This window comes from Homo sapiens, chromosome 1 (assembly GCF_000001405.40).
Source record: "Homo sapiens chromosome 1, GRCh38.p14 Primary Assembly".
Lineage (NCBI taxonomy): Eukaryota > Metazoa > Chordata > Mammalia > Primates > Hominidae > Homo > Homo sapiens.
Window position 1 is genome coordinate 34,975,002 of NC_000001.11, and position 23,579 is coordinate 34,998,580.

General features: G+C 43.4%; 2 protein-coding genes and 1 pseudogene across 3 annotated transcripts in view, besides 3 other annotated features; all 3 read right to left on the minus strand.

Moving 5' to 3' along the window:
- Positions 1-697: 697 nt before the first annotated feature.
- GPR199P (G protein-coupled receptor 199, pseudogene) lies at positions 698-3,705 on the minus strand (annotated as a pseudogene). Its single transcript, NR_037869.1, has 3 exons — positions 3,677-3,705; positions 2,930-3,083; positions 698-2,401 (listed from the first exon to the last, which is right to left on the minus strand). The product of NR_037869.1 is annotated as a G protein-coupled receptor 199, pseudogene (transcript).
- Positions 3,706-6,378: 2,673 nt separating this feature from the next.
- Positions 6,379-10,346, minus strand: TMEM35B (transmembrane protein 35B). The gene is made up of 3 exons (NM_001195156.2): positions 10,197-10,346; positions 8,766-8,946; positions 6,379-7,118 (listed from the first exon to the last, which is right to left on the minus strand). The coding sequence occupies exons 1-3, from the start codon at positions 10,302-10,304 to the stop codon at positions 6,943-6,945; spliced, it is 465 nt and encodes a 154-aa protein (NP_001182085.1). The 5' UTR covers positions 10,305-10,346; the 3' UTR covers positions 6,379-6,942.
- Positions 9,905-9,974: a silencer, noted in NCBI's record as "silent region_633". NCBI's record gives its function as "represses an Ori minimal core promoter by ATAC-STARR-seq in GM12878 lymphoblastoid cells {active_cell/tissue: GM12878}" and the evidence as "EXISTENCE:reporter gene assay evidence [ECO:0000049][PMID:35858748]".
- Positions 10,035-10,324: a silencer, noted in NCBI's record as "silent region_634". NCBI's record gives its function as "represses an Ori minimal core promoter by ATAC-STARR-seq in GM12878 lymphoblastoid cells {active_cell/tissue: GM12878}" and the evidence as "EXISTENCE:reporter gene assay evidence [ECO:0000049][PMID:35858748]".
- The window catches only part of ZMYM6 (zinc finger MYM-type containing 6), a 45,781-nt gene continuing 33,365 nt past the window's right edge, over positions 11,164-23,579 (minus strand). Inside the window, exons 15-16 of the mRNA NM_007167.4 lie at positions 17,233-17,386; positions 11,164-13,934 (exon numbers count right to left, since the gene is read on the minus strand). Coding sequence (NP_009098.3) covers positions 12,103-13,934; positions 17,233-17,386 — 1,986 coding nt within the window. The 3' untranslated portion in view covers positions 11,164-12,102. The remainder of the gene's footprint in view (positions 13,935-17,232; positions 17,387-23,579) is intronic.
- Positions 22,245-22,456: a silencer, noted in NCBI's record as "fragment chr1:35462847-35463058 (GRCh37/hg19 assembly coordinates)". NCBI's record gives its function as "represses an EF-1alpha promoter that drives an FKBP-Casp9 reporter gene in an ReSE screen in K562 erythroleukemia cells {active_cell/tissue: K562}" and the evidence as "EXISTENCE:reporter gene assay evidence [ECO:0000049][PMID:32094911]".

Here is a 23,579-nt window from a genome sequence, read left to right on the forward strand (position 1 = left end):
AGAAAAAAGTTAAAGAAGGAATTAGGGACCAATAAGAGGTAATTCATCAAGAAAAAAAGGAATTTACCAAATGTATCCTTAGAAGTCAAACTCAGCAATAGGACCTAAAGGCAGGTAAGACATGGTGGCTGATTGATGGACCCTTCCTGACAAGCTGACATGGCCAAATGAAGAGGGTTTGCTCTCATTCATTAAGCTCGATTTCCTTGAGACCCAAGCAGTCTTGCTGTGGGGCCCCAATAATGTGGCTGAGGAGAGTGGTGCCCTTTCCCATTAGAAGCAGACTGCAGAGTTGTCAAAGCACAGAAGGGGAAGCACTGGTAGCCGGAGCCCCTGGCAGAGATTGGCGCTCATGAAAGAGTCTGGAGGCAGCAGGCATTGGATCTCCAGCAGCCTGGATCTCCAGCTTACTTCCCACCAAGTCTTGGTACAGTGGAGGTGATGGCAGAACTGCAAGTATCCAGCAACAGCAGAAGGAGACAGTCATCAGGACTGGGCTAGGAATGCATGGTCGGGGGTGGGTAAGACAAGCTTGGAGAATCTCAGAAACACTTGAGGAAAAGCTATCAGAGACTGGAATGTCTGAGTGAGTACTTAAGCAATTTAAATTAATGATATTCAGTTTTCACTCACGCATCTGATACACTGAGCTCTTATTATATGCAAGGCACAGTACCAACCACAGGAGATACAGCAGTGAGCAAGGTAAACACAGAATTTATTAAGTTGAATTGGGTGGAAATAAAATTTCCAATATTCAACTTTTGGGGACTTATAAAAATGATAATGTCTTATGGGTCAACATGAATACATTCTGGCAAGAGAGAAAGAAAACAACAACAACGCATTACCCAATTAATTGCTTGATTACAATTATGAAAAGAGCTATCAAAGAGCAATCCGATCTGATTCAGTCGTGTGTGTATGTGTGTGTGTGTGTGTGTGTGTGTGTTGCCAGCCAAGAAAGGCTTCCCTATAAGGAGTTACTTTAGAGGAAGTGAGGGTGAAGAAGAACTAACTTAGTGAAAGAGAGGAACAGAGATCATTCCTGGCCAAGTCAGGTACAAAGGCCATGAAGAGTAGGAGACCGGCATTTTCCCGGGCCTAAGAAGGTGACTGCCTGCAGGGAGACGCAGGGGTGGTGGGTTAGGGAGAGAAAGGGGAGCCAAATCAGACAGGGCCTTGTAGGCCATGATAAGGACTTTGGGTTTTATCCCAAGAGGTTTAAAAAAAACACAGTGGTATATTATTTGTATCCAAAAGCTGGCAACATCCAGGGAACATTCGGGTTACAAAGAATGTTCTATGTCCTTGGTACAGATGAGCCCGGAGGTTCACAGCTACAGGGGTAGTATGTGGTTGCGTCAGGATTAGAATCTAGGTCTTTCCAAAGAGCTTTCTCCACCCTGGATGCCACTGGGAGGGTGACAGGGGGGTGAGACAGGAGGGGAGGCCAGGAGACTCTCCAAGAGGAGGCCAAGGAGGCCCCATGCGCCCTGGGCGCCCCCTTCACCAGGCGGCAGCTCAGTGCCCAGCAGCAGTCCTGGTGGAAGAGGCGCACGAAGAAGCAGCAGATGAGTGGGTCCAGGCAGCTGTTGAGGCTCAGCAGCGCCAGGCTGAGGGTGTGCAGGATGTCGAGCGTGGAGGCGGCGCGACACCGGTCTCCGTTGTCTTCCCCCCCAGCCACCTAGGGCGCCAGCAGCAGGTGGTTGGGCGCCAGACTGAGGGCGAAGACCAGCAGGAACCCCAGGACCATGGTCTTGGCCGCGCGCCGGTGCGCGCCGGCGGTTGCAGGGCCCGGGCCCGGGCCAGAGGGCGCCTTGAGCGCCCGCGCCAGGCTCACGTTGGCCGCGAGCACCAGCAGGAAGGCGGCCGCGAAGGCCACCGTGGCGGAGGCCAGCCCCGAGCTTGCCCAGCGGTGCTCCAGGCAGGGAGGGGCCAGGCCCGCCAGCCAGGCGAAGGCGCAGGCAGCGCGCGCGGGGCGCCGTAGGCACCGGGCCAGGCGGGCAGCCGCCCTGGGCCCGGGACCGCGTACGAAGCCGCAGCGGCACACGCTGATGAGCGCGGCGAAGACCACCGCCGCATAGGTGGACACGTAGTAGGTGGCCCCGGCCGCGTGGCAGGCGGCCTCCGGGCCAGGCCCAGGTAGTAGGTGAGCCACAGCTGCAGCGTGAGCGTGAAGAACTCATCAACCAGAGCCAGGTTGAACAGGTAGAGAAGCAGGGCCTGGCCCAGGCGCCCGCCGCTGCGGATGAACATTGCCAGGGCCGCCACGTTGGCTGGCAGCCCCAGGCCCAGTGCCAAGGCATAGGCCGCGGGCACCACGATGAAGCGAGCAGGGTCATCCCAGAGGCTGCAGCCGCCAACACCCAGGTCCCCAACACTGCTGTTCATCTCTGACCTTGAAGTGGCAGAAGAAAGGTTACTGCGGAGGCTAGCGACAAAGGCAGCCCCCATTCCACCTTCTCCCACCCCAGTCTCCTCTTCTTCAGCCCTTGCTGGGAGGGGACACTAGAGGCAGAGTCCATGTGAGAGGGAATGAAGACCGAACCTGGCCAGCAGCTGCTGAGAGGAGGGTATGGACTCCAGAGTTTTTGGTGACAAACTGTGGGAAGCGAGGAAGAGGCAGGAGTCCTAGATAACTTGGAAATTTCCAACCTTAGTGACTGAGAGGGTAGAGATGCCCCTCACAGATGGAGTATGGTTCATACATGTTGGGCCACAGACCTGTGCAGTAAACCCACGTAGGACTGAGCCAACAGGGAGTTCTGGAGAAACAGGCTGAAATATAAAGAAGAGGCCTTTCCAGAAAAAGCCCCAACACCCGCCCCCCCCTCCCCGCCCCCATCCCTGTGCCACCCAGATGAGAAGCATGGATGGAGGAATGGGCTTGCGGTGCAGTGCCTATGCACACTGACCTCAGACTTGCCTTGGTGAAGGTCCTCTCCCAGAGAGGTGCCCCAGCGCTTGCCTGGAGCACCCTTGGCTGGGCTGAAAAGCTTTTGCCACTCTCAAGCCTTTCATCCTGTTTCCTCCCCCCTCACTTTTTGACCACAAAGAGGTCCTGGGTCAGACTCAAACCTCTGGACAGAAAAGCAAAAAGTGCACAGACCCAGCAATCAGGCAGATTCTAGATAACACACATCTATTTGCCATGTGACCTTGGGCAAATTACTCAGCTTCACTGAGCCTGTCTTTGCTGCAGTAAAATGGAGATGAAAATACCTACCTCACAGGGTTGTTGGGAGGATTATGAGAAAACCTAAGTAAAACTGAGCCCTGTGGCTGACACTGGGGAGATACTTCATTACTGTTAGTTCCCTTCCCTTCTAGGCAGCACATAGATAAATGTGTACACTCACACAGGCACACACAGTGTGTCAGAGACACAGACACCCCAGGCACACAAAACAACACAAAAACATCTGGGCATATTCCTACCCTCTTCCCAAGGGAGTAAGTGCACAAACCAATGTCCTGTTACTATTTGTGACACACTTACACACTCCTAGGATGTCCTAAAACTCAGTTCTTCCAAAATCTGCATTTTTGCCTTTGAGCATCTCAGGCTCCAATCCTTTCTGAGACCCTGGGTAACTGTATTTCCTTTCCCACCTTCCTCTATTCTGTTCTCCATGCCTGTAGCCCCACCCTGACCCATCCCCTGCCATCCTACCAGACTGTTCCTTTCTTGCCTCTTGCTATAATGGCTGCTGGAGTTCTCTCTGGGGTCCTGACTTTAAGGATCTGAGACAGGGGAGAATCCCCTCCCACCCACACATCCCAGACCCTCCTATCGCCAGCTAATCCCAAGAAACGACATGAAGAATGGGTCCGACAGCTGGAAGGGCTGGAGCCCACCTGTGGCAGCTATGAGCTGGGTTTTTGGGGCTGCAGTAGGGCCCCAAGGGAAGGGAGTGTCATCGGAGGACAAGAAAGCCTTCAGCACAGGGAGGGAGATAAAAATGTATTAGGAAGGGCAGGCAGCTGAACGTCATCGTGCTGAGCTGACCTAGATTTAGGCTGTAGTTTGGGGGGCACGTTTCCTGAGGCCTGGCTTCTCCTTGGGCTGCTAAGGAGGCACTGCTTGGGCTCAAGATCCTCCTGCTGCTGTCAATCCCAACTGCTCGTACACACCAGCTGCCCAGCCTACTCCTCTAGCACCCTGACTTTCCTGCAGCTGCTGGGCAGTCCTACAGCCAAGCTTGGGGGGCCCAGTAGCTGCTTATCAGCCTACAGACCCAGACTTGGTAAACAGGAGCCCTCAATCTAATGCTAGCTGCGAGAGGTTTTACTCAAAGTCCATCCTGGCAGGAGACGGGCTGGCGGTGGCATCCTGGAAGGGGTGGAGAAAGAATAAGGCCAGGATCCTCGGGGCTCCAGGCTCTACTTTCAGGGGCTTCAAAATTTTCAAGCAAGATGGGCACAGTGGCTAATGCCTGTAACCCCAGCACTTTGGGAGGCCAAGGCAGGTGGATCACCTGAGGTCAGAAGTTCGAGACCAGCCTGGCCAACATGGTGAAACCCCATCTCAAAAAAAAAAAAATTCCAATCAGAGGGGAAATGCTGGGAAAGCAGAGCAGATTTCATCACCCCAGACAGGTCATCCCATCTACCCTCAGATTGAAGAGAGCTGGGGTGCCATGCCTGTCCATTTTCAGCTTTGGCAGCTGGTGCAGTGAAAAGTTTGAGTTCTGGAATCAATTAGGACTTAGTTCTAGTTCCAGGTCTGATATATAGGCACTCAAGCTTTCCAAATGCATTTTCTCATCTGTAAAACAAATCAATATTTAATAATGACTAGCATTTACTGAACATTTACTATGTGCCAGGCTATGAAATAGTTACTATCATTATCCATAGTTTTCAAATAAGCTAGTAAGTGACAGAAACCATTGTCTACCCCCTCTTCTTCCTTGCTGACCAGTGTGGGTAAATCTTAGTCTAAGTCCATCATGGGAATTCCATTCTCCTGCCAGTCATTAGTCTAGGAATGGAAATGGGACATAGCTCTGCCCAGTGAGATCCATGCGAAAATCTAGGGTCTTCTTTTTTTTTTTTTTTTTTTTTTTTTTTTTGAGACGGAGTCTCGCTCTGTCGCCCAGGCCGGACTGCGGACTGCAGTGGCGCAATCTCGGCTCACTGCAAGCTCCGCTTCCCGGGTTCACGCCATTCTCCTGCCTCAGCCTCCCGAGTAGCTGGGACTACAGGCGCCCGCCACAGCGCCCGGCTAATTTTTTGTATTTTTAGTAGAGACGGGGTTTCACCTTGTTAGCCAGGATGGTCTCGATCTCCTGACCTCATGATCCACCCGCCTCGGCCTCCCAAAGTGCTGGGATTACAGGCGTGAGCCACCGCGCCCAGCCAAATCTAGGGTCTTCTAAGGCACCCTTCCTCTCTTTTCACCTTTCAATATTATAGCAAATGCACTGTCTGGAGCTGCTGCAGCTATTTCGCAATTCTGAGGGCAATAGCCAATACACTGAAAGCAGCAGAGCAGAAAGTTTAAAGAATGTTGATTCTTGATGCCATCATTAGGCAAACTGACCAACATTGAAACTGAAGTGGTTATCTCTGGACCTCTTACATGAGAGAAAAGGTTTCCTTATTGTTTTGACACTACCATTTATTTAGTGTAATCTATCTATCCTTACTATAGGCAGACTACACCACTATGCTTTCAGACTCAGAAGAAAAAAATCCAACTGAGAGTGTCACCTTGCCTGAGGTTCACACTAGTCAGAATGGGAATTAGCATTTTGTAGTGAACATGAAATGGAGTAATAGAGACTTCTTTTCCACCCTCAAAGCAATCTGTAGGCTGATAGCTAGAATATTTGCATAAATAAGTGAACTGTTTCTCACTATAGTCCCTCATGGGAGGTACATCACTTCCCAAAAGCCCACAGCCCTGCCAACCTAAGATAAAGATGGTGGTGACATAATAGCAGGTGCCCTAACGTGTTGTCCACTTTTCCCCTGAGAACTGTCACACATATGCACCCTTCCTACCCCCAAGGACCTCTGGGATTCCTCCCAGGCTTTGGGCCCTGCTGTACCATTCAGCATTTCATGGAGTTGGCTGTCCCTCATCTCCACGTAGGTGTCAAGGAGCACTGGACTGGGTGCCACAGATCACCACCAGAGCTTGATTTCAGGTCCTGTCAAATGACTCAATGCCTACCTGTTAGCTCTGCACATCTAATATGTCAGAGAAAAAAAGGAGTGGGAGGGAATCTCTAATATGTCTCAAAGGGCATAGGCAGAAGCAAGTACTTAAGCTCTGCATACAGAACCTGTACGTTTTAAATATGTATTAAAAACCTTAAAAACATGCATGTGTTTTGAACCAGCACCCTCACTTCTAGGGGAAGAAAATAAGTATGCAAAAGTGATTTACTGTGAGGCTTACGAGAGCAAAAAATTGAGAATAACCCAAATGTTCCTCATGGGGGATTAAATACATTATAGTACATCCTTGCAATGGAATACTATGCAGCCATTAACAGCAATGAGGCAAAAGAGACATGAAACAGTGTTATAGTTTATAAGGTTTTAAAAGGAGGAAATAAAATAGGATATATGGTTTTATTTTCATTTAAAAAAAATATATATCTGTTTAAAGGCACAGAAAAAAGTTCAGAGGTATACTTACACCAAGGCATTAAAAGTGGTTATTTGGGGCATCAGAATTTTGGTTGATTTAAATTTCTTTTCTGCTTATTTTGTATTTTCATATGACATGAGGAATGTTAATATGCATAACATGTACTCCTCACAAAAGAGTAGTAAAGCTAAAAAGAGAAAGCAGTGCCAGGTAGACAAAATGTCTCTTTCAACACTGGCTGACCCTGGATATTATACTGGTAACAAGATGATAGACTCTGTGTTCTACCATGTTCCTGCTGTGACAGCTGCATGGCATAAAGAGACAGAGATGCTCTACTTCCAGGATTCCTTGAATGTACTTAGAGTCTTCTTCCTAGTGGGTCTGACCACCTTCTTAGTCTGGGCTAAGAGCTGGCCGACATTCAGCAGCAGCAGGAACCCCAGGCAGACAATGGCTGGGATACAGGTGCTTAGTGACTCTTTCAGAGCTGCCAAGGTGAAGATAGCCCCTGGAATGGAAAGTGAGGTCCCTGAGGCTCCTTGGAAGAACCCAGGAGATCCAGGAGCTCAGGGCTCTCTAGTTTAGGCTGACCCACTCCAGCCCAAGCCCTCCCATTAAACACCCCCACCACTCCTAACGCACATTCCCAAAACTAGCGGCATTCATCTCTAGCCTCCTGGAGAAAGCAGGACCAGGAAATTAGAAGCCTCTTGAACAACAGCAGCAGTGGCAACAGTTGCCCCTCTCAGAGGACAAGAAAGAAACGGGAATGACCCAGCCAAATAGGGCAGTGGCTAGAGTGGATAGATTTTAGAAAAAAAAATCTCCCTGATCCTTCTCCTTTCCTTTTTTTTTTTTTTTTTTGAGGCAGAGGCTTGCTCTGTCACCCAGGCTGGAGTGCAATGGCGTGATCTCCTGCCAGCCTTCTGAGTAGCTGGGCTACTGGGTTCTGGGTACTGGCTTCAAGCGATTCTCCTGCCTCAGCCTCCTGAGTAGCTGGGATTACAGGCGCGCACCACCACGCCCGGCTAATGTTTGTATTTTTAGTAGAGACGGGGTTTCATCATGTTGGTCAGGCTGGTCTTGAACTCCTGACCTTGTGATCCGCCCGCCTCGGCCTCCCAAAGTGCTGGGATTACAGGCATGAGCCACCGTGTCTGGCCCCTTCTCCTTTCTTAATCCTACATCTACTAAGATTAAGATGGAGGGAAGGACTAGCCCAGGGGCTGTTGGTTGGAGGTATGGGAAAGATCTGAAAATGGGAGAAGCTCCAGAGATGGAAGCAAGCCTGGTAGCAGTGGCAGCAATGGTAACAGATGCCAGGGCATATAGAAGAGCCTGAAGATATCTGGCCTTTGAAGCAACAGCTGTCTTTGTACATCAGCAGTTCCTGTGGGCAGAGCTACTTGAGGGGGACTCCCTAGGGAAATTCTCTGCCTTCCTGTTCAAGGTTCTCCAGCTTCCCTGCTCTCTACACCAATCTGCCAGACACATGCATCAAATGGCAGCTGCTCCTCCATCCCCTCATCCTAGGAGTGGATGTGTGGAGGAAGGAGCAGAGGCGCTGAGCTTGCAATATATCTTCACAAGGCAATACTATGCAGCCATTAGAATTGAGGAGGTAGAAGGTACACTTAACATGTGATAATGTTCTAGCACATTAAGTTTAAAAAGTACCTGTGCTAGGCCGGGCATAGTGGCTCAAGCCTGTAATCCTAGCACTTTGGGAGGCCAAGGCGGGCAGATCACGAGTTCAGGAGATCGAGACCATCCTGGCTAACATGGTGAAACCCTGTCTCTACTAAAAATACAAAAAAATCAGTCGGGCGCTGTGGCAGGCGCCTGTAGTCCCAGCTACTCGGGAGGCTGAGGCAGGAGAATGGTGTGAACCCAGGAGGCGGAGGTTGCAGTGAGCAGAGATAGTGCCACTGCAGTCCAGCCTGGGCGAAAGAGCGAGACTCCATCTCAAAAAAAAAAAAAAAAAAAAAAAAAAATACCTGTGCTAGTTTGAAGACCATGGAAACTGTGGTAGAGCAGAAAGTGCTCTTGATCCCAGAGAAAAAAGAAGGGTGGCAACAGTAAGGGGGAACAGCCAGGTCTTTCCATAATCCTCCCCCAGAAGACCCCATTTTCTCAGGCCAGTTGGCCCCCTTACCCATCATGAGCAGAATCAAGAACAAGTTACTGATCTCTTGCAGCATCGGTGGGCCCATGACCAGCAGCAACCCAGCCAGCAGTTCCAGAAAGCCCACAGCTATTTGGTAGTTCAGGGGATCTGGCTGGTAGCCAAATACCTTCAGCGGGAACACCTCAGCAAACTGCACGAACAGGGCATTCTAGGGGTGGCAAGGAATGCCTGTTAGCCTCATTGTTCAACAAGGATGAGCTCCCCAGATGCTCCATGGCATATCTATGCCTGTGCCCTCAACTTCCCAGAGAAAAGAACTACTACTCTAGGTCAGGTCCAGGGCTGAGGTCAGCCTGAAGAGGAGAGGGCTGCCCTGTGGCGCTGAGCTTTGGAATCAGGAAACAGGCTCCATGCTCCAAGTGGTACAGAGATTGATCTTCTCACTAGACCTCTCAAGAGATTACAACCCAGCCCCAAATCCCAGGAGGAGGGGGCTGGGCTTGGCTCCCTAGTGCCAAGGCCTGGGGAATTCCACAGTTTCCTTCTTTGTGTCTGGCCTGGTTTCTCTTAAGGCTGCTGTACAGGGAATATTTGGAGGTGAGGCAGAGTTAGGTGGGCTCAAAGTGACTCTTCTTGTCAAGGCAGGCCCTCCCCTGAGCCAAATGACAACTTCATCCTTACTTTCGGGGATACTTTTTCCTGTTCCCACTCCTCAGCTCTACCTCCCCTCCTCAGCTCTGCTGGGAAGCAGCTCTAAGCTGTCTGTCTCTGGGGATTTATCCAGGCCTTGGAGAGAGATGCCAGCAGAGGTCTACAAGTCTGGCTCTTTTGAGGGACTGGGGAGATTGGTGAACAGGATATGAAAGCTTTCCCATGAGTCTGGAACTAGACAGAAGGCTGAAAGACGACTTCAGGGCATCCCTCTCAGGCTTCCGAGAGAGGCTTCCCTCTCTGGGTTCCGAGTTAGGAGTGTCTAGCTTGTGTCCTGCTTCCTGACTAGATGTGCAATCTTTAGCAGATATACTTGCCCTTCAGGGCGGGCTTCCTTCCCTGCAAAGCCAGGATTACTACACCCCAACCCCACGAACCTCCCAAAAACTGAAGCAAACGGCGAAAAGAGGGAAGAGAGCGGGAAGTGAGCTCATTTTCCCACCGCATCATCCTCCCCCAGGGTCCGGGGGGGTGGGAGGGACCTCCTAAGGCTCTAGATTTGCCTGGGGCCACCAATATTCTGCAGGAAGGGGAGGTTCTGTCCCCTTCCGTCTAGGGAAGATCCAGAGAACTCGAGGAACTCCCCAGGCAGGACCTGCGCCTCAGTCGAAAGCCAGGCGCTTTCCCCCAGCTCCAGCTGAGCCTCGGAAGCCCGAAGGCGGCCTGCCGGGCCGGGGGCGAGGAGCGGCAGGGCGGAGCACACGCCGCCGCGGGCCCGATCCCCTGCCGCCCGCCCGCGCCGCTCACCATCCGCTCCGAAACTGGAGCCGAGATCTCCTCCGAGAGCTTGGCCAACCCCACGAGCGCGAAGAAGCCGCCCAGCAGTACACGCAGCACCGAAAGCAGGAGCGCCATGGCCGCGCTCCCCCCACCGTGGGTTGGCCCCGCCGAAAACCCGCCCCTGCCGCCGGCTCATTTCCTCCCTCCCCGGGGCAGCCGGAAGACTCTCGCCTGAGCTACCGTCCCCCACCCTCCAGGGGGTCGCGAGGCTGCAGTACTGGGGCAGGGCGCCCCCATCTTACAGGTGGGGACACTTGAGGACCACTGGCTGGTAACTGACTAAACAGGCACCTTTGGATTCAGGGAGTGTTTCCCAGCCAATACGGAGTGCTGGCAGACACGGGTGGGTGTCTGGGTGCGGTTCAGCTACCATCAAAAGACCCCGGGCTTCGTTCCTGCCTGTGCCACACTAGCTGTGGGATCTGAGCTGTCACCCACCCCAAAGGGCCTCAGTATCTGCATCTGTATATGGGGATAACTCAGTTCTCCAGAGTTTGTAACAGGCCTAGCACAGTGCCTGCACATGTAAGAGCTCAGAAAGTTATTTGTAAATTAGTAAATTAATTTATAAAATTGTAATAAATCAATAACCATTAATTATTAAATAAGTCTCTTTGCCTGAGATATCTTTTCCCTCTAATTTATCTCGGCTGACAATGAAATGTGAAAGGTGTTTGAAAATTCAGATACTTGCATGGATAGAGAGGCTTTCACTGAACCAAGCCCTACAGTCCACTCCTGGCCCATTTGCTCTTACCTGGAAATCTGTCTAAAGCTGGGATGGGCAAACCATGGGCCAAATTTGGCCAGATGTCTGATTTTTTTCCATGCTTCTCCCCTTCCCCCAAGCTAATAATGTTTGTTTACATTTTTTATGATAAAAACATTTTTTAAAGAAGCTTGTGTGACATAGGAAAATTATATGAAATTCATATTTCAGTGTTCATGAATAAGTTTTATTTAAAAACAGCCACACTTATCTGCATATTGTCTATGGCTGCTTTTGCACTGCAACTGCAGAATTGAGTAGTTGTGACAGTATGGCCTGCAAAGCTGAAAATATTTACTATCTGGCTCTTTATTTAAAAAGTTTGCTAAGCCCTGGTATATTGGGCCAGAAAGGCCCCAAGCAGGGGTCTCAAATCCCCCTGCTGCTTCCATTTATAGTTACCCAAGCTGCTTAGATCTATCTTTTTCCAGCTGGGCACGTTGGCTCACACTTGTAATCCCAGCACTTTGGGAGGCCGAGGCAGGTGGATCACTTGAGGTCAGGAGATAGAGACCAGCCTGACCAATATGGTGAAACCCCGTCTCTACTAAAAAAAATACAATAGACGGGCATGGTGGCACATGCCTGTAACCCCAGCTACTTGGAAGGCTGAGGCAGGAGAATTGTTTGAACCTAGGAGGCAGAGGTTCCAGTGAGCCAAGATCACGCCATTGCACTCCAGCCTGGGCAACAAGAGCAAAACTCCATCTCAAAAAAAAGATCTATCTTTTCCACCTACTCACAACCTTGCAGGGGTAAGTAGCTGGTTGGCTAGAAGACTGAAATGTTCCACTTGCTTCTAAAGGCCAAGCTGTTTCAACATCCAGGTTGTGCTGTTACATTATAAACTGGGCTTCTCATTACCTGCAGTCTTTGTCACTAGTCCAAATTTAATGAAATAACTAAATTTTCTACCCTAGATTATAATTATACATAATTATTTATAACAATCATAATTATTAAATTCCTCAACAAAAAGGGAAAAATTATTAAAACATTTAATCACTGAAAACACAAATCCACATTAGGAAATTATCTTTTAGGATACTTATACAAAACTTAACACAGGATTATTGACTTCACTGTTAAGCAATGTGCATATTGCTACTCTTTCTCCTTCACTAATTTTTCTATCCTTGGAATTAAAGATGTGACTGCAAGTCTTAGGGCAGGGCCAGAACCCAACAGATTTTTTTGTTTTGACTCAGTCAAAGCTGAAAAGGCAGCATCACATAAATAAACAGTTGAAAAGGGTAATAAAAATTTCATTGCCCTTTCATGGAGTTCTGGGTAACTTGTCTTTGCATTTATCCAAAACTGAGTTACAGACACTGATTTAAATAGTGCTTGTAATCCTAAATCTGAAGATAGCTCTGTTAGCTTTTCTTCTTCGAAGTCGGTGAGATTATTATTTTGGTGATTCATAAAAGGGTGAATTATCCACAAATTTCCTGAACGCAAGTCTTGTTCTGGTGGAAAACAGTCACTGAACACTTGAGAAAGTCCTTCCAGGTGCTCAAAAATAATCCTTGTGATGTCTGTCATATTTAAGCCTGATGAATTTGAGAATTCAGAAAATGAAGGGAACATGTCATAATCATTCTCTTGTGTGCGCTTCAACCACATTTTTAACTTTCTCTTAAATACATCAATTTTATTACACAAATTGAAGAAAGTAGTCAAAGTTCCTTGGAGACTTAAATTTAATTCATTTATAAGTGAAAATATATCTGATAAGTAGGCCAGCTTTCCAACCCATTCCTCATCATGAAAATACTTGGCCAAATCTGAATGCTTTTGACTTAAAAATATTTCAATCTCATGTCGTAATTCAAATAATCTTTTTAACATTCTCCCTCTTGATATCCAACGTACTTCAGCATGAAGCGGTAAACTCACATGCTCAGATCCCATCTCTTCACACAAAATTGTTAACATACGTGAATTTAATGCATTGCTCTTTATAAAACTTAAAATTTGTGCTGACTGCAAAAGAATTTTATGTAAACATGGAGACAACTTTTCTGCCACTAAACGTTCACGGTGAATAAAACAATGTGTAAATGCCGCTGTATTCATGGCAACTTCTTGAATTTTTGCTTTTAAACCAGAATACCTGCCAGTCATGCTTGCAGCCCCATCGGTACAGAGACCAACACAATGTTTCCAATTCAGAGATTTACTATCAATATATTTATTTATTAGTTCAAATATTTCAAAGCCAGTTATTTGAGTAGGCATTTCAATGCAAAATAATAATTCTTCTTTTACATCACGACAATCATAATCAATGAAACGAATATAGCACAAAAGAAGTGTGATATTTGAGATTTCTGATGACTCATCTATCTGAAGGGCAAACCACTTTGACTCTCTGACCTTTTGAATCAGCTGGTCTTCAATGTCTGCAGATAGTTCATCAATCCTGTGTTGAATTGTAACATTAGAAAGTGGAATAGTTTTCATTTTGTCTCCAGCACTTGAACCCAAAACTTCTGAACACATTTCTACTAAATATGGTTTAATTAATTCTTCAGCAATGGAGAATGGCTTCTTGCTTGCAGCAGTTTGGAAAGCAATTAAATAAGAAGCTTTCACAAGTGACTTTTCAACTAGTAAACACTTTTTTAAAGAACTATTTTGACATTCCATTTCTAAAGATTTTTGTTCAAAAAAATCTACTGGTTTGTTTTCTAATTCTGAATGTTTTGTCTTCAAATGATGAGAAAGATTTGCTGGCTTCATGTTTTCACTGGATAAGATCTCTCCACAAATGACACACTGTGGCCTTGGTGAACTTTCTTTTGATCCAGGACAGATAATAAAACCAACTTTTAAATATTCTGTATCATAAGTCTGGAAAAAACCTAATCTTTTTTTCTTTGAAGGTGGAGAATCAAGTTCTGCATCATTTTTTTCATTAGGCATAGGTAAATCTGAATGAAATATTTGAATCACTGTTATTTTCAAGAACAAATAAGCAATGTTCTTTATGTATCTCCCCACATATTTAAAATTCATATTTTGTTACTATTTCTATTTATCAAAAGAATGCACTGGTAAAAGTTTAAGCACAAGTCATAATACTTCCAATGATGCTACTGAAAACTGAATTTCTCCTTTGCCCAAAGCTTGATCACTAGGTATAATAAAACTGTAGGATGTGGTACATGTACAAGTAATCCCAAGCACCCAATAGGTTATTGAAATTAGGGCTGAAGACCATGATACACATCAAATTAACAATAAACTTTTTGGCTGAGCAGGGTGGCTCACACCTATAATCCCAGTGCTTTGGGACACCAAGGTGGGTGGGTCACTTGAGCCCTGGAGTTAGAGACCAGCCCGGGCAACATGGCGAAACTCCATCTCTACATTAAAAAAAAAAAAAGAAGAAGAAAAAAAATTGGCTGGATGCAATGGCACACACCTATAGTCCCAGCTACTTGGGTAGCTAAAGCAAGAGGATTGCCTGAGCCCAGGAGGTTGAGCCTGCAGAGAGCCATGATCACACCACTGCACTCTTGAGACTACGTCTCAAAAAAAAACAAAAAGAATAAATTTTTTATTGGTGAGTGACACTGGTGTCAAAAAATTTTTTTAAAGAAAAAGAAAAAAAAGGCCAGGCATGGGGCTCACACCTGTAATCCCAGCACTTTGGGAGGCCAAGGCGGGCAGATCACCTGAGGTCAGGAGTTCGAGACCAGCCAGGCCAACGTGGTGAAACCCCGTCTCTACTAAAAACACAAAATTAGCCAGGCATGGTGGTACATGCCTATAATCTCAGCTACTTGAGAGGCTGAGGCAGGAGAATCGCTTGAACCCGGGAGGCGGAGGTTGCAATGTGCCGAGATCATGTCATTGCACTCCGGCCTGGGAGACAAGAGTGAAACTCCATCTCAAAAAAAAGAAAGAAAAGGAAGAAAAAGAGACAGAAAAATAATGTTTTACTTTCAAACAATCCAGAAAAAAAAAGAAAATAAATATTGCAAAAAGTTAACATTTCATTAATCTGGATGAAGAGTATACTAGTATTGACTGTACTGTATATTCAACCTTTCTGAATTTTGATACTCAGTGTCAGTGAGGTTGTAGAGAAATGGATCCTCCTGAACACTGCTGGTTGGAGCATACATTGATGTAACTTTTCAGGAGGGCAATTTAGGCAACAGGTATCAAAATACTTAAGAATAGATGATAGGCCGGCGCGGTGGCTCACGCTTGTAATCCCAGCACTTTGGGAGGCTGAGGCGGGCACATCATGAGGTCACGAGTTTGAGACCAGCGTTGCCAACACTGTGAAATCCCGTCTCTACTAAAAATACAAAAGAAAATTAGCTGGGCATGGTGGCAGGTGCCTGTAATCCCAGCTACTCAGGAGGCTGAGGTAGGAGAATCGCTTGAACCTGGCAGGTGGAGGTTGCAGTGAGCCGAGATCGCGCCACTACACTCTAGCCTGGGTGACAGAGATAGACTCTGTCTCAAAAACAAAAACAAACAAAAAAAAAGATGATAGTCTTTGAATCAACACTTCCACTGATTAGGATTTATCCTAAGGACATAATTAGGCAAGTGGACAAAGATCCATTAACATAGCTTAACCCAACATTGCTTATAATACAAATATCTAAATTTCCAATCTTAACGGAGTTGGTTATATTATATACACTGAAATCTATGTTAAGAATCTCATACCCAGGTAACAAATCTGCACATGTACCCCCGAATAAAATAAAATAAACATAATAAAATAAAAATTGGAAAAAAATAATCTCAATGTATATTTAAATTTATATTGTTGTGGAATAATGTTTCCAATGCAATGTCAAATGAAAAAGTAATTTCGATTGTTAGAAAACATTCGAGATTTATTCTTTTAAAAGAGACGGAGTTTCACTCTTGTTGCCCAGGTTGGAGCACAATGGCGCGATCTCAGCTCACCGCAACCTCTACCTCCCAGGTTCAAGCGATTCTCCTTCCTCAGCCTCCTGAGTGGCTGGGATTACAGTCCTGTGCCACCATGCCCAGCTAATTTTGTATTTTTAGTAGAGATGGGGTTTCACCATGTTGGTCAGGCTGGTCTCAAACTCCTGACCTCAGGTGATCCGCCCATGTTGGCTTGCCAAAGTGCTGGGATTATAGGCATGAGCCACCACGTCTGACCAACAATTCAATATTTAATCTAGAACTCAAAACATAAGCACACACACACACACAAACATACACACACACATACACACATATAGATGCCCACAGATCCTTTAGTACTCTCCATGTGTGAACGTGTATATAATATAAATTCAGGTACAAATAATATATTGTTTTAATAGGAATATAAAATAAATTTCCTGAGGAAGGAAAACAGGATTCTGCTTGACTTCTACCAAAATAAAGGTACCCTACATAAAAACTTACTACTTGTTGACAGACTAAGCTTTTAAATATAGTGTATTCTATGAAGTAAAATTATTATTAAAAACAAAAATCAGGCCAGGGGCGGTGGCTCATGCCTGTAATCCCAGCACTTTGGGAGGCCGAGGCAGGCAGATCACCTGAGGTCAGGAGTTCAAAACCAGCCTGGTCAAAGTGATGAAACCCCGTCTCTACTAAAAATACAAAAATTAGCCGGGCATGGTGGCAGGCACCTGTAATCCCAGCTGCTCAGGAGGCTGAGACAGGAGAATCGCTTGAACCCAGGAGGCAGAGGTTATAGGGAGCCAAGATCACGCTATTGCACTCCAGCCTGGGCAACAAGAGTGAAACTCCATCTCAAAAAAAACAAACAAACAAACAAAAAAAAACCCAGTGCTTTAGGCACAGTAGACTATTAAAGCAATTGAAAATCTAAGGGTAGTGGGATTAAAAGTAATACTTCACAACTTTTTCAAGTAAAGCTCAAACAATTTTCATCGTCACCAATACCTCAGATAAATTAATTGTACTGTTAGCAACTGACAACTGAATTCGCAGTATTTAAAAAAAAAAACAGGTTAAATCACTAATGCTTTTAACTAAAACTGTATGTTAGTAATTATAATAGCTTGTTATGATAGCTGGTTATTAGTGTTAATAATTATGAAAGCAATAAATTAAGTATTCAAAGCATGTGATCCAAGAAAAGGAATGTTTTCACATTTAAGACTCTGTCAATTATTTTCTTTTCCTTTCTTAAAAAACAAAAACAAACAAGCCAGAAAACAAGCTTTGTACATGGGAACGCACAAGGATACATACCTGTCTGACATTCTTTGTGCTGTGTATGTGGTTTGCAAGAAGTGGCCTTGGTCTGTGTGACGGGTTTGCATGATATGCCTTTGTTCTTTAAAAGCCTGGAAGGCTGGGAAGATTGGGAAGATGGAAATTTCATAGCATCTTCCTGTGTACTTTCCTAGTTAAAAGCAAATTCAGAAACCAAAGAAAGATTTTTTTTAGTACCTTATCACTGACTATAATTGCTATCAATTGAAAGTTCATATACATCAAGAGAAATATAATTCCTCTGAAAGAGTGGTTGCAATAAAAAAGTCACCTTGGAAAATACACACAGATTCCTACTTCTCCCAATCAGTATTAGTTTAATTTACTGATTTTAAAAAACATTTATAAATATAAATATAAAAATATATTTATAAACTATAAATATAAAAATATATTTATAAACTATAAATATAAAAATATATTTGTAAATATAAAAATAAAAATATACTTATAAACTATAAAAATAAAAATATACTTATAAACTATAAATATAAAAATATACTTATAAACTATAAATATAAAAATATACTTATAAACTATAAATATAAAAATATACTTATAAACTATAAATATAAAAATATACTTATAAACTATAAATATAAAAATATATTTATAAACTATAAATATAAAAATTATACATATAATATATATTTTTAAAATAAGTATGATCAAAACAATGAAAACAATTGTTAATCTTGCTGATTAGGACAACTGGCTACTCAGAAAAATTAGATCCAACCTCAGACCATACACAAAAATATATTCCACATCAATTAAAGATCTCAGGGAAAAAAAAAGAACTAAAGTCACTAGAGAACTTTCAAATAAACAGATCACAAAGTATTCTTTTCTTTTTTCTTTTTTTTTTTTTTGAGACGGAGTCTCACTCTGTCACTCAGGCTGGAGTACAGTGACACAATCTCAGCTCACTGCAACCTTCGCCTCCCAGGTTCAAGCAGTTCTTGTGCCTCAGCCTCCTGAGTAGCTGGGACCACAGGCGTGCGCCACCACGCCTGGCTAATTTTTTATATTTTTAGTAGAGATGGTGTTTCACCATGTTGGCCAGGCTGGTCTCAAACTCCTGACCTCGTGATCCGCCCACCTCGGCCTCCCAAAGTGCTGGGATTACAGGCGTGAGCCACCACTCCCAGCTGGGATCACAAAGTATTCTTAAATAAAACACAAAAGAGTAAATCAAAGTAGAAAAGACTGATACATTTGACTACCTCAAAATTTAAAACTGCTCAGATGATCCAGGATAATCTCCCTATTTTAAGGTTAGCTGATTAGGAACCCTAATGCCACTTGCTACCTTAATTCACCTTTGCCATGTAATGTAACATATTCACAGATTCTGTGGACAAGGACATGGACATCTTTGGGGGGCTACTATTCTGCCTATCATAATAAAGCTCTTAAAAAGTAAATTAATTTTTTTTTTTTTGAGACGGAGTCTCGCTCTGTCACCCAGGCTGGAATGCAGTGGCATGATCTCAGCTCACTGCAACCTCTGCCTCCTGGATTCATGCCATTCTCCTGCCTCAGCCTCCTGAGTAGCTGGGACTACAAGCACCCGCCACCACGCCCGGCTAATTTTTTTTGCATTTTTAGTAGAGATGGGATTTCACCGTGTTAGCCAGGATGGTCTCAATCTCCTGACCTCGTGATCCACCCACCTTGGCCTCCCAAAGTGCTGGGACTACAGGCGTAAGCCACCGTGCCCGGCCAAAAAGTAAAGTTTTTTAATCCAAAAAAAAAAAAAACTTCTGTAAACAAAGGTCTTTATAAAACAAAGTTATAGGGCAAACAACAGAGTGGAGGAATGTACTTAAAACATGTGTATTCACTCAATATTTATTTCCTGAATGTTTACTACAAGCCAGGCACTGTTCTAAGCCGTGGAGATACCGCAGAAAACAAGACAAAGTTCTGCTCATATGAGCCTTACATTCTAGAGGAAGACACAAAAAATAAACAAGTAAAACAAATAATATATAATTCTAGGTAGTGATAAGTGCGATGAAGAAAATAAAGCAGCGTACAGGAATGGAGAGTGATGGCATGGAGGAGGGGCAATTCTGAAGTAAACATCTGAGCAGAGACCTTTTGAATTATTCAAAAGAGTAAGCCATGCAAAGGTCTAAGGTCTGAAGAGTCCAGGCAGGCAGACTATAGGTGCAAAAACCCTGAAGTGGGAGAAAGCTTGGCATGCTTTAGGAACATCAACAAGAACAAGGCTGAAAGACAGTAAGCAAGGGGAGAATGATACATTTGGAGAGGTAGGCAGAAACTAAATTGTATAGGATCTGGAAGGTCTCAGTCAAAAACAAAATTAGGATTGTATTTTAAATGTGATGGGAAGCCATTGGAGGTTATATTTAAATTTAATTTAAACAAAAGTAATACATGAACTCAGTGCAAAATTCAAAATGTACAGAAGTATTGCGTTGGTACAAAAATAATTGTGGTTTTTGCAATTAAAGTAATATACACATGAATGACTGCCGTCCACCCAGACTCAACCTTGAACACAACCACTGTTCCCAGTTTCTTATACAGTTGTTCCCCCTTATCTGCCGGGAATATGTTCCAAGACCCCCAGTGGTTGCCTGAAACCATGGATCATACCGAAGCCTATACACACATGTATATATGTGTGTATATATAGACATATATATATATATGTATACATATATCCATAATATATCATAATATGGATATATACATATCTATATGTATATATGTATACATATATACTTACATACGTATATATATGTAATATATATACTTACATACGTATATATATGTAATATATATACTTACATACGTATATATGTATGTATATACGTAAGTATATATGTATACATATACATATATACACACACACACATACACACACACATATGTATGTGTGTATATATATATATAATTCCAGGTAGTGGTAAGTGCTAAGTGCTCTCTCTCTATATATATACATATGTATATATGTATATAGGGTTTGGTATGATTCATGGTTTCAGGCAACCACTGTGTTGCCTGAAATATGTCTACAGGATTGTATACACATATACAATATATGTATATACGTTGTATATGTATATATGTTGCCTCTATGTATATAGGGTTCTATATATATATACACACACACACACAATGTTTTTTCTATACATATATACCTATGATAAAGTTTTATTTATAAATTAGGCATAAGAGGTTAACAGTAACTACTAAATAGAACAATTATAACAATATACTATAATAAAAATTATGTGAAGGTACTCTCTCTCAAAATATCTTAATGTGCTGTACTCATCCTTCTTCTTGTGACCTGATAACTGAGATGGCTACTGACTAGTGATGGGTAGTACACACAGTGTGGATATGCTAGACAGAGATGATTTACATCCCAGGCAGAATGGCATGAGATTTCATCGTGCTACTCAGAATGGCACACAATTTAAAACTTACGAATTGTTTATTTCCGGAATTTTCCATTTAATATTTTCAAGCCACAGATAAGTGGCACTACTATATATCCTTCTAGAGATGGTGTATGTAATTAAACAAAGTTGCTTCTGACTACAAAGTGTAGCCTATTATTACCAAGATTCAGAACCTTGCTCTTGTCACTTAGCAAACTATCTTGGAGGTCCATTTACATAACATTGTATAAAGCTGCCTAATAACAGCTTGTATAGTATTCCATTATTAAATGTACCATAAGTAATCTGAAGAATCCCTGATGAACATATCTAGGATGTTATAAATATTTTACTATTATAAACAATGCTATGATGAGTATATTTAGACATAAATTAATTCTACATGTGCTAGTTTATCTACAGAATAAAGTCTTAGAAGTGTTGTTGGTGGGTCCCAAATATATAATTTTAATTCTGATGGTACTGATAGACATTATATCAAATTATGTGACCATTATCAATAGATGTGGGCCTTTCCCAGTATCCTAGTCAATAGAGTATTACCATTTTGTTATTTCTCAATGAGTGAAAAATTATTTTACTTTAGTGTAGTTAGATATTTTTCACATGTAAGCATTATTTGTAGTCCCTCTTCTGTGAACTCTCTATTCATATTCATTACCACTTTCCTTTATCTTTTGAAAAAAAAATTCTATGAATGTTTCTTTAACAGATGTGCCAAAAAATTCAAAGATTCACGTAATACACAATGAAAAAATAATTTTCCCTTTTAAAATTCTCCCCTAGTCATTCAATTATCCTTAGAGGCAACCACTATTACCCATTTATTAGTTGTCTTCCAGGGATAGTCTATACATATATACAAGTGTGTGTGTGTATGTGTGTGTGTGTGTAGCACAAATGGCACCATGTTACACAATTTTGTGTCTTTTTTCACTTATGATATTTGAGACTGCTCTATGTCTGTATATACTGAGCTGCCACATTCTTTTTTAACAACTGTGTAATATTCCATTGTTATGGATATATACCTTGTTCAGTTTTAACTACAGCCTGAACAAGGCCACTGTGTATGCCTGCACAGCAACTCTACTTGCCAGGCCACATAAATAGGTGTGAAATTCAAAAAGGGTACATTTCAGACCCTGCCCATGTAGAGCTATTTTTTTCTAATTCACACAATAACTCAGAGTGAATGCACCATGGCCCTGACCACTGGTGAAATTTAAATTAGGTTGTTTTCAAGCTTCTGCTACTATAAACAATGCTATGATTAAAATCCTTGTACATGCTTCATTTCATAAATGTACAAAATGTATCTGGAAGATAAATTCCTAAAAATGGAGTTCCTGGGTAAATGGAAGTTAAAATTTTAACAGGTTCTACTAAATTGCCCTCTGCAGCACTTTTATCAATTTACACTCCTACTGGCAATAAGAATACCTTAGCAGTGTTATCCATCGTTTTTCTTTGCCAATCTAATTAAGCCATAGTTCTAACCAGCATTTCTCTCATTTTGAAGTTAAATATCTTTGCATATGTTACTTTTGCCCATTTTCCTACTGGCATTTAAAATGATTCATAGAAGCTCCTTGGGGATTTTTTGTTTTTGTTTTGTTTTTTGAGACAGTCTCACTCTGTCACCCAGACTGGAGTGCAGTGGCGTGATCTCGGCTCACTGCAACCTCCGCCTCCCGGGATCAAGCAATTCCTCGTGCCTTAGCCACCTGAGTAGCTGGGATTACAGGCATGTGCCAACACATTCAGCTAATTTTTGTATTTTTAGTAGAGAGAGGGTTTCACCATGTTGGCCAGGCTGGTCTTGAACTCCTGCCCTTAAGAGATTTGCCCACCTCGGCCTCCCAAAGTGTTGGGATTACAGGCATGAGCCACCGCACCTGGCCCATAGAAGCTCTTTACATATTAAAAAACACTAGATTTTTGTAACATGAGTTGTATGTAACCTTTTCATTTTGTCATTTGTCTTTTGATTTTGAAATATGGTTGAATTTCCCCATTGATTCTTTTATGGCTTCCGGGTTTTGTGACATATTTAGAAAGACCTCTACACCGTTAAAATTTTTTCCTATATTTTTCTGAGTACATACTTACAATTTCTTAAGTCTTTCTCCATCTGAACTTTATTTTGGTCTAAATTGTGAGGTGCAAATCTATATTTTCTTCCATATGTCTACTCAGTTGTCACAGCATTATTTATTAAATAATCCATATTTTTCCTACTGATCTGAAATGCCACCTCTATCATTACTAAATTCCCACATTTTAAATATATGTTTGGGCCAGGTGCTGTGGCTCATGCCTGTAATCCCAGCACTTTGGGACACCGAGGCAGGCGGATCACAAGGTCAGGAGTTCAAGACCAACCTGGCCAAGATGGTGAAACCCTGTCTCTACTAAAAATACAAAAATTAGCCAGGCGTGGTGGCACGCGCCTGTAATCCCAGCTACTCAGGAGGCTGAGGCAGAGAACTGCTTGAACCCAGGAGGCGGAGGTTGAAATGAGCTGAGATTGTACCACTGCACTCCAGTCTGGGCAAGACTCCGTCTCAAAAATATATATATATGTTTGGACCTATTTCTGGATTTCTCTTCTACTGGGTTGTCTGTCTATTCGTGCACCAGTACCAATTGTTTTAACTACGTAGCTTTATATCTGTAGTTTTCCTATAATTTCAATATGTGGAAACTTGCTCTTTGCCTCCTTTATTCTTTTCAGAATGTCATTGAAGGTTTTTGAGCGGAGGAATGACATGATCTGATTTGGGTTTTTAAAAGATCATTCTGGTAACAGTGTAGAGAAAAAACTGCAAAGGACAAAAATGGAAGCAGGAAGACAGATAGGTCACTGCAATAATCCAA